Below are 13,333 nucleotides of genomic sequence, written 5' to 3'. Positions count from 1 at the left end.
GTCAGGGGAAGAGTCTGCCCTTTCTGTTGGAGAGGGGAGGGAGGTGTTGCAGGCAATATACCCCAAGACCTCATCTTCATGTCCATCATCAACACAATTCAGTAAAATGGTGGTTAAAGAACAGGAGCAGGTGCTCATTCTGGCTCTCCCCTTTCGTCACCTCGGACAAATTACTTGGCTTGTCAGAGCCTCAATTTCTTCATTCATAAAATGGAGAGAATAGTTGCCACCTAGGAGGTACTTGTGACAATTAAATGATTAAGTCTACACAGTCCTGAGCACATAATAAGCAATCAATAAAAAATAGGCTTTAATAATAAAAAAATGAAAGCCGGTTTGTACACCTATGTTCATAGCAGCTTATTCACAACAGCTAAAAGGCAGAAGCAACCCAAGTGCACATAAGCAAAATGTGGTTCGTACATGCAATGGAATATAACCTTAAAAAGGAAGGGAATGGCCAGGCGCAGTGGCTCACACCTGTAATCCCAGCATTTTGGGAGGCCAAGGTGGGTGGATCACTTGAGCTCAGGAATTTGAGACCAGGCTGGGCAACATGGTGAAACCCCATCTCTACAAAAAAATACAAAAAGTAACGGACATGGTGGCACATGTCTGTAGTCCCAGCTACTTGGGGGGCTGAGGCAGGGGGATCACTTGAAACCGGGAGGTGGAGGCTACAGTGAGCAAGATCATGTCACTGCACTCCACCCAGCCTGGGGGACAAAGTGAGACCCTGCCTCAGAACAAAAAAAAAAAAAGGAAGGGAATTCTGACACTTGCTGCAATATGGATGAACCTGAGGACATCATGCTAAGTGAAATAAACCAGTCACAAAGAGACAAATACTGAGTGATTCCCCTTATATGAGGCACCTAGAGTCATCAAATCCAGAGACAAAGTGAAAGCGTGGTGCCAGGGAAAGGGGAAGAAGAGGGAATGGGGAATTTGTGTAAATTAATGCAGAGTTTCAGTTTTATAAGATGAACAGAATTCTGGAGATAGAAGGTGGGGATGGTTGCCTAACAATATGAATTTTTTTTGTTTTGTTTTGTTTTGTTTGTTTTTTTGAGATGAAGTCTCACTGTGTCACCGAGGCTGAAGTGCAGTGGCGCAATCTCGGCTCGCTGCAACCTCTGCCTCCCAGTTCAAGCAATTCTCCTGCCTCAGCCTCCTGAGTAGCTGGGATTACAGGCACCCGCCACCACGCCCGGCTAATTTTTTTTTTTTTTAGATGGATTCTTGCTCTGTTGCCAGGCTGGAGTGCAGTGGCACGATCTTGGCTAACTGCAACCTCTGCCTCCTGGGTTCAAGCAATTCTCCCGCCTCAGCCTCCTGAGTAGTTGGGATTACAGGCACGTGCCACCACGCCCAGCTAATTTTTGTATTTTTAGTAGAGACGCAGTTTCACCGTGTTGGCCAGGATGGTCTCGATCTCTTGACCTTGCGATCCTCCCGCCTCGGCCTCTCTAAGTGCTGGAATTAAAGGCATGAGCTACTGCACCCAGCCAATTTTTTGTATTTTTAGTGGAGACAGGATTTCACCATGTTGGTCAGGCTGGTCTGGAACTCCTGACCTCAGGTGATCCACCCACCTTGGCCTCCCAAAGTGCTGGGATTACAGGCGTGAGCCACGGCGCCCAGCCATATGAATGTATTTAATACTACTAGAGCTATACATTTAAAAATGGTTAAGATGGGCTGGGCGCGGTGGCTCATGCCTGTAATCCTAGCACTTTGGGAGGCCAAGGCAGGCAGATCACCTGATGTTGGGAGTGCAAGGCCAGCCTGACCACCATAGAGAAACCCCATCTCTACTAAAAATACAAAAAATCAGCCAGGCGTGGTGGTGCATGCCTGTAATCCCAGCTACTTGGGAGGCTGAGTTAGGAGAATCGCTTGAACCCGGGAGACGGAGGTTGCAGTGAGCCAAGATTGTGCCATTGCACTCCAGCCTAGGCAACAAGAGTGAAACTCCATCTCAAAAAAAAAAAGTTAAGGTGGTAAAATTTATGCATATTTTGCCACAATTTTTAAGTTGGAGAAAGAAATAAAATAAATAAAAGACAAAATTAGCAATCCAGTTGCCCTGAGTGACTCTGTACTCCTAGAAAAGAGTGGACATATGGCCCTGGCTTCAGGCCTCCCCTTCTGAGATAGACACCAGGGGACAGATGCTCAATGAATGAACTCAGGATTTATGCTGATAATAAACAGGAAATAATAGATCGGTTTAAATATTTACATGGTGGTGTGCAGGCTTCAGGGCAAGGACATTACCAGGGAGGGGAGTGGGGGGTCAGACAGAAGACACAAAGAGAATGTAAATGTTAGTGGAACATGGGGCTGAAGCCACCCAGACGTGTCTTTCAAGCGCACTCAGGAAGAGAGGGACAACTGCAGGAGGGGAAAACCCCTGCCCAGGCTCAGGGAGTCTGCCAGAAGCCTGGGCCACCCCGTTCCTTCCTTCCAGGGGAGATCCTTGTTTACCTTGCGAGGCTGGAAGACAATGTAATCAAATTATGACTCATTATTCTAAATGACTTGTCTCCAGTGGAGAAGGCAGGCAGGGAGGCCGGGAAGGGGATACAAGTTGTTTTCCAGGACTTTGTTTGCTCATTTTCCAGCTCCCTCTGTCCCCAAGCCCTTTCCTCTCTTTCGGCCTCCCCCTGTCCTGGCCTCTCCCTCCCTCTTTCCCCACTCTGCTCTTTCCCCTCCATCTGCTCCTTGGGCATACCCAGGGTTGAGGGAGCAGAGCAGGTTCTTCTCAGTCTCGGCAGGTGACAATGAATAGGACAACAGGAATATCCTGCCCCCCAAGAAATCCCTTCCTCCCAACCAGAGAGCAAATGCAGTATCTCTATCTGGGATTGAAGTCAGGTCATTTGATTGAATAGGACTCTGTCTCTGACTTGCTGGGTCACTTTGGGCAAGTCACTTGTCCTCTCTGGAGCTAGTGTGAGTAGGGGGGTTCATTCCAGAAAGAGGAACCCCCTCTGCCTGCCCTTTCCTGCCTCCCAGAACTGGTGTAAGAATGAGAGGCCATCCCACCCATCAGAGACCCTCAGATCTCAGAGACTCAGGGGCCTGAGGCAGATGAAATACACAGGTTTTCAGCAACATTCCATCACCTCAGACACACCCCTGGTATCTAAGGTGATGGAATGGCCCTGAGCCCTGGACCCCGACAGAGATCTGGGGACCAACCTAGCCTGGAAGCAGTGTGCTGGATACCTACCTAATGGTCCATGTTCCCCCATCCCCCTCCCTGCCTTCATTCAAACGTGCATGCAGTTTCTGAGAGGAAGGCAGCAGGGCACAAGTCCCTTTAAAAGGTCAGATGGGAAAAAAAAAAGGGCAAAGAAACATTCTCTCTCTCCCTCCGTTCTGGCCAGCTGCCTCCCAATGACCCAGTAGGAGTAAGCAGAGAGGCCGGCTCCACTTCCTCCCCTGGGTTCTCACGTTCCATGACCTGGCAGCTCCTAGTGACAAATGCATCAGAAAATCTTCTCTGGATAGCTGCTCATAGAGCTAAAAAAAAAAAAAGTCTTCTCTGGGGTCAAAAGGAAACTGTAAGCAAATGGAAAAACATGGCATTTTTCCAAATATCGAGTTATAACAGCTCTCTCTCTCACACACACACACACACAAACACACACACGCGCACACACAAGCTGTCTGTGGAGCACATACCACATGGCATGAGTACCCATGTCCCAGGCAAAATCTAGTTTATATTATTTTAATATGAATACCCTCAACTTTAATAAATTCACCCTGAAACCATCAGATCCAAAGTTCACTCAGAGGTTTCTTCAAGTCATGAACAGTATTAATGAAGGAGTGTTGTGACTGCCCCTGTCCTGCCTGCCCTGCAGCCTTCTCATGCCCTGCACCCCCTGCCACCCCCACCTAAGCACGGTCTTCCTGGAGGGCTGCAGAAAAGAAAAGAAAAAAGAAAAGAAAAGAAACATTAAACCGTAGCAGTAGAGCAGATTGGAGGTGGGAAGCTTGAAGGCAATAGGAAAATCAAGGTACTATAGAAGGTGGTGGGAATTGAAACAGCAAGGAAGAGGGGGAAATTATGAGGTAACTTTGAAATTTATGAAATGTGGGAAAACTTTGAAAATTGAGGGGAGGGCAGTTGATGGTGACTCTGTGAGTGACCAGGAGACCAACATCAGGGATGGCATTTATTAGGAAGGTGATGATGGCTGGCCTGGCACAGTGGCTTACGCCTGTAATCCCAGCACTTTGGGAGGCCAAGGTGGGTGGATCACAAGGTCAGGAGTTCGAGACCAGCTTGGCCAATATGGTGAAACCCCACCTCTACTAAAAATACAAAAAAATTAGCCAGGCATGGTAGCGCATGCCTGTGGTCCCAGCTGCTCGGAAGGCTGAGGCAGAAGAATCACTTGAACCTGGGAGGCGGGGGTTGCAGTGATCTGAGATCCCGCCGCTGCACTCCAGCCTGGGCGACAGAGTGAGACTCCATCTCAAAAAAAAAAAAAAAGAAGGTTGTGATGCACTTACCTAGACACTGTGCATTTAAGATCCTTCAGAAGAACCAGACAGAAACTTCTGTAGGCAGTTGGATACTAAAGGCTAGAGCTCAAAAGAATATTGCTGTGGCTTTGGGGCTTATTGGCTTTGAGGGGATTGCTGAGGATAAAAGCGGGTGAGACTGAAGAACAGCAGAGCAGGGAGGAGGCTACACACTGAACTCGTGCCACTCTAGGGACCAATGATGGGCCTGTTTATGGCAGAATTCTAGAACCAAATGGGACTCTTTACAGATGGAGAAACTGAAGCCCAGAGAACATGAGTATCTCATTGCATATTTCCAGTTGGTTAGGGGACAGCCTGATTTCCCAACTGCAGTGCTTTCCTCCTGCTTCTGTATCATTTTTTACTTTTTTTTGAGACAAGATTTCACTCTGTCACCCAGGCTGGGGTGCAATGGCATGATCTCGGCTCACTGCAACCTCCACCTCCCAGGTTCAAGCAATTCTCCCACCTCAGCCTCCCAAGCAGCTGGGACTACAGGTGTGCACCACCACACCTGGCTAATTTTTGTATTTTTAGTAGAGATGGGGTTTCGCCATGTTGGCCAGGCTGGTCTAGAACTCCTGGCCTCAAGTGATCCACCTACCTCAGCCTCCCAAACTGCTGGGATTACAGGTGTGAGCCACTGCACCCAGCCCTGTATCTTTTTTTAAATTTAAATTTAAATTTTTTTAAAGACAGGGTCTCACCCCGGCTAGAGTACAGTGGCACATTCATAGCTCGCTGTAGGCTTGAACTGCTAGCCTCAAGCGATCGTCCCACCTTGGCCTGCCAAAGTCCTGGGATTACAGGCATGAGCCACCTCACCCGGGCTTGACTTTATCTATTTCTTCATAGGGGAAGAAACAGATGACACACAGGGATGTACACAGGAGACAGTGTCTCCCTAGGGCGCCATTTTGTGCGTGTTAGCAAAAATAGCCAATAGTTCCAAAGTGTCCTAAGAAGCTAAAACCTTTTCCTTACACACAAAAAACTGCATGTGGACACCAGGAGAAAGGAATTGGGTGCATCTCTTCGCATAACAAGGACATCGTGGCCTTTTCAGAAAGGGCATCTGGCATTCTGTAAAAATGTCTGGCCAGGGTTTGCTTACACTGGGAGAGACCTGAGCTGAGCAGGCCTCACTGGCCCCAATCACAGCCTGAACCTCTCACTTGGATTGGATCCTGGCTCGTGCCTGGGAGTGCACCCAAATGCCACAGCAGGCCTCCTCCCCTGTGGCAGGCAGTTTTGGTTGGGGCCTTCTTCCTCTGGCCTCAGTTTCCCAGAAGGCTTTGGGATCTGAAGTTCCCTAACTCTACCTCTCACCAATTCCACTTCTTTTTTGTGTTTTCCCTCATTATCCATATTAGGGCGCTGCATAGCCTAATGCTCCAGCATAGAAATGAATCAGGTTTGCTTTATAATTAATCGGTTATACAGTACATTTAAGTTTTATATACTTTTCCTGGATGTGTGTCTTATTTCACAATGAAAAAGTTAAAATTTTAAATTAAAACAAAAGAGAGAGAGCAAGTAAATTCCAGGGCAACCATCGAGTTTACAAAATGTTTCTTTGTCAGACAAGAGCTTTCACCCCTGGAGTGTTGACTAGTGCACGTCATCGTTTGTTTATAAAAGGCACGTAGTAGCTCCTCAATTGATACTCACTGGCAAAATAAATGATGAACAAATGTGTGGATAGAATGAATAACTTGGGCAGAGTAAAAGTCCTTGTGAAAAGACAAACAGCACTGAAAAAGCAATGGAAAATGTTGAATTAGCAGAGACTCTAGACACACCCCTATTGTTTCCAGGCCTATTGCGTCAAGCAGGACACACCTGTAGAGCAGCCACCACCAGGCAAGGGGTTCTTTGTCCAAGGACTCCCCACCCCACCCCCGCTCATACCTGTTTGGGAGGCAGGAGCTCTAACAGGAGGGAACTGCCCTTTTTAAAGGTCATAGGAAACAGAGGTGTGTCACCAGGCCAGCCCAAAGCGGCCAGGCCCAGGCCGTTCCCATTGCAGTTCTCTCCCCAGCTTAAGGTGCTGTCCCTTCCTTCATCCAGACAGAGCCCTTGAGGCGGAGGAAGGCAGCAGCTGCAGATGAAACCAGACCCTTCTTGGGAGACTCAAGCCTCAGTTCTTGGCCTAGGCAGGGCAGGCCACATGTTGTTATGGTTGAGTCGACCAGCTGGGAATCAGCAGGGGGTTTGTAAGGAAACTGCATTAATTAGGAAAAAGCAAACATGACTGTCACTCCAGTCTGCCAGCCCCTTCCTCTGATTTCCCTTGCAATTCCCCCAGCCCCACGTGGTCTCCATCAGATCATCTCTCCCTTCACCTTCCCGCCCCTTTCCGTTGCCTCTGCTCCTTCATGGCTCACATCTGCACTGCTCTTGGCCCTGACCCCTCTTCCTGGGTGAGGTGGAAGGAAGGCTGGAAGAGCACAGCCATCCACAGCTGGGACCAGAACCTCCCCAGGCCTGAAGCCTCAGATGGGCTGACCTAACTCCTTCCTGGGATCTGGCCTGAGCCTCGCTTTCCTGTTAGCCAGCAGCACATCACTCGACCAGATCATCCCTGCTGCGAATTTAAGTTTTCCTTGGCAAAATGAACATTTCTGGGTTCATCTCCTGTGGGTTTCCCTGAACATCTTCATTGAGAAGGTTTACTTGGGATGTAAGTTTATCTCCAGAATTAAGACAGAGTCCAGGACAAGGTGTGGAGGAAGAAGGGCGGTCTCCTTGGGAAATGGGGTAGAACCAAGGGGGCTGGGCTTCTCCAAAGAGGAGGCGATAGAAGAAATAAAGAGAGGTTCAGAAATAAAGAGAGGTTCCTCAGACTCCCTTCTCTCATATATGTGTATACACTGTCATTGCTTCTCTTTAATTTCCAGGATTGCCACTGCAGCTGGAAATAGTTCTCATGCATGAGAATGACTCCGTCAACAACCCTAGAGACTTAGGCTCAGAAAAAGACCCTTACTTTGGGTGGCAGCTAACCATCTGCAGCTCCCAGACAAGGGCCCTGACCCCCTTTCATTCCACAGCACTGTTGTACTTACAAAAAGAATCCACAGCATACTCAACTAGGGAGAAGGGAATAAAAGACTCACTGATTGAATAGAACATACTGTTTTTGGAGTAGGAAGCTAGATATTAGAAAAAATTTTGGGCCAGGCGCAGTGGCTCACGCCTGTAATCCTAGCACTTTGGGAGGCCGAGGCGGGTGGATCACCTGAGGTCAGGAGTTCAAGAGCAGCCTGGCCAACATGGTGAAACCCTGTCTCTACTAAAAATACAAAAAATTAGGCAAGCTTGGTGGCGGGCACCTGTAATCCCAGCTACTCAGGAGGCTGAGGCTGAGGCAGGAGAATTGCTTGAACCTGGGAAGCAGAGGTTGCAGTAAGCCAAGATCGCACCACTGCACTCCAGCCTGGGCAACAGAGTGAGACTATTGTCTCAAAAAAAAAAAAAAAATGAAAGAAAATATTTTGAATTGAAAGCAAGCTAAAAGCGGCCAGGCACAGTGGCTCATGCCTGTAATCCCAGCATTTTGGGAGGCCAAGGCAGGCAGATCACCTGAGGTCAGGAGTTCGAGACCAGCCTGGCCAACATGGCGAAACCCCATCTCTACTACAAATACAAAAATTAGCCGGGCATGGTGGCAGGCACCTGTAATACCAGCTACTTGGGAGGCTGAGGCAGGAGAATCGCTTGAACCCAGGAGGCAGAGGTTGCAGTGAGCCGAGATTGCACCATTGCACTCCAGCCTGGGGGACAAGAGTGAGACTTCCTCTCAAAAAAAAAAAAAAAAGCCAAAGCTTAGCAATTGGAGATTGGAGATTGCACTTCCAGACAGTGAAATAGTACATAGCCATTAAATATAGTGCCAAAGTTTGCCTGTCGTCCCAGCTACTCAGGAGGCTGAGGCAGGAGGATTGTTTGAGCCCAGGGGGTTGAAGCTGCAGTGAGCCATGTTCAAGCCACTGCACTCTAGCCTGGGTGACAGAGCAAAACTCCATCTCTGAAAAAATAAACAAATGAAGATATATATATATATATATATATGTGTGTGTGTGTGTGTGTGTGTGTGTGTGTGTGTGTGTGTGTGTGTGTATGGTGCCGAATGACAGAAAAAGAGACCACTGGAACTAAATAGAGATTCCAGAAAACAGACCAGATGAAATGCAGTGGGGAAAGTGTGAAATTTTTAATTAGTCGGGCATGGTGGCAGGCACCTGTAATCCCAGCTGCTCGGGAGGCTGAGGCAGGAGAATCGTTTGAACCCAGGAGGTGGAGGTTGCAGTGAGTGGAAATCACACCATTGCACTCCAACCTGGGCAACAACAGCAAAACTTCGTCTCAAAAAAAAAAAAAAGGAAAAGTGTGAAAATTTTAAATGGTGCTAGGTCAGTTAGATATTGAAATTATACGGGAAAAATTAATCTTAATCCCAGTTTCAGACCATAACAAAACAATTCCAGATGACTCAAAGATCTAAATGTGAAAAGTAAACAATAAAGTTTTTAGAAAAAAAGACAGAAGAACATCTTCATGACCTTGAAGAGGACAAAAATTATTATTTATTTTTTACTTTTTGTAGAGACACCTTCTTACTCCATCACCCAGGCTGAAGTGCAGTGGCGTCATCATAGCTCACCGTAACCTCAAACACCTGGGCTCAAGTGACCCTCCCCATTTTAGCCTTCCAAGTAACCTGGACTGCATGCACGTACCCAGCTAATTTTTTTTTTTTTTAATTAGGTCTCACTCCCATTGCCCAGGCTGCTGGAGTGCAGCGGCACAATCATGGCTCACTGCAGCCTTGACTTCCCGGGCTCAGGTGATTCTCCCACCTCAGCCTTTTGAGTAGCTGAGACTACAGGCATGCACCACCGTGCCTGGCTAATTTTTCTGTGTATTTTCAGTAGAGATGGGGTTTCACCTGTTGCCCAGGCTGGTCTCAAACTTCTGGGCTCAAGCAATCGTCCTGCCTCAACTTCTCAAAGTGTTGAGATTACAGGCATGAGCCACCACGCCCAGCCAGAAAAAGAATTGAAAAGGAAACAAGAAGCATCAACCATAAAAGAAAAAAACTGATAAATTGCACTATATTAAAATTTTTTAAATACTCCTCATAAAAAAAAAAACTACAGGAGAATGAAAAGGCAACCCACAGAGAGGGAGATGACATTTGAAGTACATATATTCAAGAAAGGATAAGTATCCAGCATATATAAAGAACTACAAATCAATAAGAAAAAGACAGGCCAGGAGCTGTAGCTCATGCCTGTAATCCCAGCACTTTGGGAGGCTGATGCAGGAGGATCGCTTGAGAGGAGGACTTCGAGACCAGTCTGGGCAACATAGTGAGACCCTGTCTCCACAAAAAAATTAAAAACAAGCTGGGTATCAGGCTGGGCGTGGTGGCTCATGCCTATAATCCTAGCACTTTGGGAGGCCGAGGTAGACAGATCACCAGAGGTCAAGAGTTCGAGACCAGCCAGGCCAATATGGTGAAACCCCCGTCTCTACTAAAAATATAAAAATTAGCTGGGCATGGTGGTGGGAGCCTGTAATCCCAGCTACTCAGGAGACTGAGGCAGGAGAATTGCTTGAACCCAAGAAGCGGAGGTTGCGGTGAGCCGAGATCATGCCACTCCACTCCAGCCTGGGCGACAGAGCTAGACTCCATCTCAAAAAAAAAAAAAAAATTAGTTGGGTATCATAGTGTATGCCTATAGTCCCAGCTCCTCAGGAGGCTGAGAGGTTGGAGGATCACTTGAGCCTGAGAGGTCAAGCCTGCAGAAAGCCACGAATGTGCCACTGCACTACAGCCTGCGTGACAGGGAAGTCCTGTCTTTAAATAAATAAATAAATAGAAAAAAGAAAAGCAAAACACAGGCAACCCAATATAACATCAGCCAAAATATTAAACACACATTTTACAAAAGAGATGTCTAAATGACCTATATTGCTATATAAACTGCACGCTTGAAATTTATTGGCCAGGTGTGGTGGCTCACGCCTGTAATCTCAACACTTTGGAAGGCCGAGGCAGGTGAATAATTGGAGGTCAGGAGATCCATACCAGCCTGTCCAACATGGTGAGACTCTGTCTGTACTAAAAATACAAAAATTAGCTGGACATGGTGGGGTGCACCTGTAATCCCAGCTACTCGGGAGGCTGAGGCAGAAGAATCACTTGAACCTGGGGGGCGGAGGTTGCAGTGAGCCAAGATCGCACCATTGCACTCCAGCCTGTGGGACAGAGTGAGACTCTGTCTCAAAAATAAATAAATAAATAAATAAATATAAATAAATGGTCTATGAACATATGAAAAGTTACTCATCTTCATTAAGCATCAGAGAAATGTAAGATAAATACACAGTGAGATCCTACTACACGCCAACCAGAATGGCAAGATTAAAAATACCAAAAAAAAAAATCAAATATTGACAAGGTGTGGAGCAATTAGAACTGTCACACACAGTTGATACCAGAGTAAACTGGTACAATCATTATGGAAAATTGTTTGACAGTATCTAGCCTGGCCTTTGGGCCAGACATGGTGACTCGTGCCTGTAATCTCAGCAGTTTGGGAGGCTGAGACAGGCAGATTGCTTGAGCCCAGGAGTTTAAGACCAGCCTGGGCAACATGGGAAAACCCCACCTCTGCAAAAAATACAGAAAATTAGCCGGGCATAGTGTCATGTACCTGTAGTCCCAGCTACTCAGGAGGCTGAGGTGGGAGAATCACCCGTGCCCAAGAAGTCCAGTCTACCGTGAGCCATGATCACGCCACTGCACTCCAGCCTGGGTGACAGAGCAAGACTCTGTCTCAAAAAAAAAAAATTTAATTTAAAAAGGCTTTTGTAAAAACTGTCAAGGCAATATCTTCTACTAAAGCTGAGCATAGGCATACCCTGCAACCTAACAGTTCTACCGCGAGATAGGCCCCAAAGAAGTTTGTTCTTGTGTTCACCAAGAGTCACGTAGAAGAACGTTACAGCACTCTTTGTAGTAGTCCCAAGTGGCAAGTATCTAAATTCTATCAACAGAAAAAAAAGTGATTTTTTAAAATATAGTATATTCACAGTGGAATATTATATAAAGGTCAAATGCAGGGAAAAGTAATGTATTGTGCTAAAAGTCAGGATAATGATTATCCTTGCGGGGTAGTGTCTGGAAGGGGACACAATGGGGTGTTCTAGAGTGCCAGTCAAGTTCTGCTTGAACATGCCACTCCACTCCAGTATGGGTAGTGTGTCCCTTTGCGAAAATTCATCAAGCAGTACACTGATGATTTGTGTGTTTTGTTGTTTTTTGTTTGTTTGTTTGTTTGGGTTTTTTGTTTTTTTTTTTGAGACAGTCTCACTCTGTTGCCCAGGCTGGAGTGCAATGGCGTGATCTCGGCTCACCGCAACCTCCACCTGCAGGGTTCAGGTGATTCTCCTGCCTCAGCCTCCTGAGGAACTGAGATTACAGGAGCCTACCACGCCCAGCTAATTTTTGTATTTTTAGCAGAGATGAGGTTTCACCATGTTGGCCAGGCTGGTCTCGAACTCCTGACCTTAAGTGATCCACCTGCCTCGGCCTCCCAAAGTGCTGGGATTACAGGCGTGAGCCATTGTACCCAGCCTGTGTATTTTTCTTACACAGGTAATACTTTAATTAAAAGATGTGTTGTTTTTTAAAGCTAGTCTCCTGATCCAAACCTGGTCTCACAGAATTGTAGGGACTAATCATAAATGGATTCAGAAAAATAAGATATTATAAGGCAAAGAATATCCACAGTATTATTTCATCTTGCTAAATGTAAACAATGCTTATCTCTGGATTTTAGATGACATTTATTTTCTTTTTACTTTATTTATTGTTTCATTTTTCTACAATGATCACATGTTACCTGTCATAGTTGTTTTTTAAAATAAAATTTGTTTATGATAAGTTAAGATAAGATAATGAGAAGAGGGTTGGCACTCGAATGCTTTAGCTCACTGTGTCCAAAGCAAGCCCTGGGTGGGGCTCTGTTGCTGCCCTTGTCTCTACTGGATTCCTGGAAGTTGGAAATGGGTGAAGAAACAGAGGATGTAGTACAAACACAAAAGGTCATCTATACATCTATAAGCTCAAGGTCATCTATGCAGAACAAACTTGGAAGCTATAGGGAGAGTCAAAGCTTTCTTGATCCTGGCTGGGACACCTAGACCTACACCTCACTAAGACCCTCTGCTTCACTCCTAATCCATGTGTCAGTCTCTACCACCTTGATTGACTTTTCTTTTAAGTTTCCCCTTCACCGGGTTTACCTTTGCTAAATGAGATGTTTTAACGTAACCCAATGCTGCATTTCTCCTGTTCTCCCTGTCTATGGTGATGCCACTCACATTTTCCATACAGCAGCTGCTCTGCATCCTCCTATTAGGGTGACGGTCCCAACTGGATGATGGGCTCCTCTCCTACTCATCAGAAAACATGCTATGTCATTTAATAAGCCTGATTTTCCCATCTTGAATCAGAGAAGGATAGGAAGAACTGAGTTGTGAATGATTTTCCTTTCCTGTGGAGCTCCAGAGGAACATCCTATACGTCTCACAAATCTGAAAGAGGAAAAACTGGCAGTTGTATTTTCTCTTTGGTACCATAAGCTTCCTTACAACACAAGTGAGTCCAACTTGTGAAAAGAGTCATCTCCATAACTGCTCTATTAACTAGCTTATGTTTATTGAGCCCTTTTGTTTTGTTTTGTTTTGTTTTGTTTTGTTTTTGAGACGG

At 46.2% G+C, this 13,333-nt stretch overlaps 1 long non-coding RNA gene across 1 annotated transcript; it reads right to left on the bottom strand.

Moving 5' to 3' along the window:
- Window positions 12,392–13,323, bottom strand: LOC124901320 (uncharacterized). The gene is made up of 2 exons (XR_007059586.1): window positions 12,946–13,323; window positions 12,392–12,614 (listed from the first exon to the last, which is right to left on the bottom strand). It is a non-coding gene; the product is annotated as an uncharacterized LOC124901320 (long non-coding RNA).

The sequence above is a fragment of the Homo sapiens genome, chromosome 6 (genome assembly GCF_000001405.40).
Source record: "Homo sapiens chromosome 6, GRCh38.p14 Primary Assembly".
NCBI lineage: Eukaryota > Metazoa > Chordata > Mammalia > Primates > Hominidae > Homo > Homo sapiens.
This window is presented reverse-complemented; position numbering and strand designations above follow the sequence as displayed.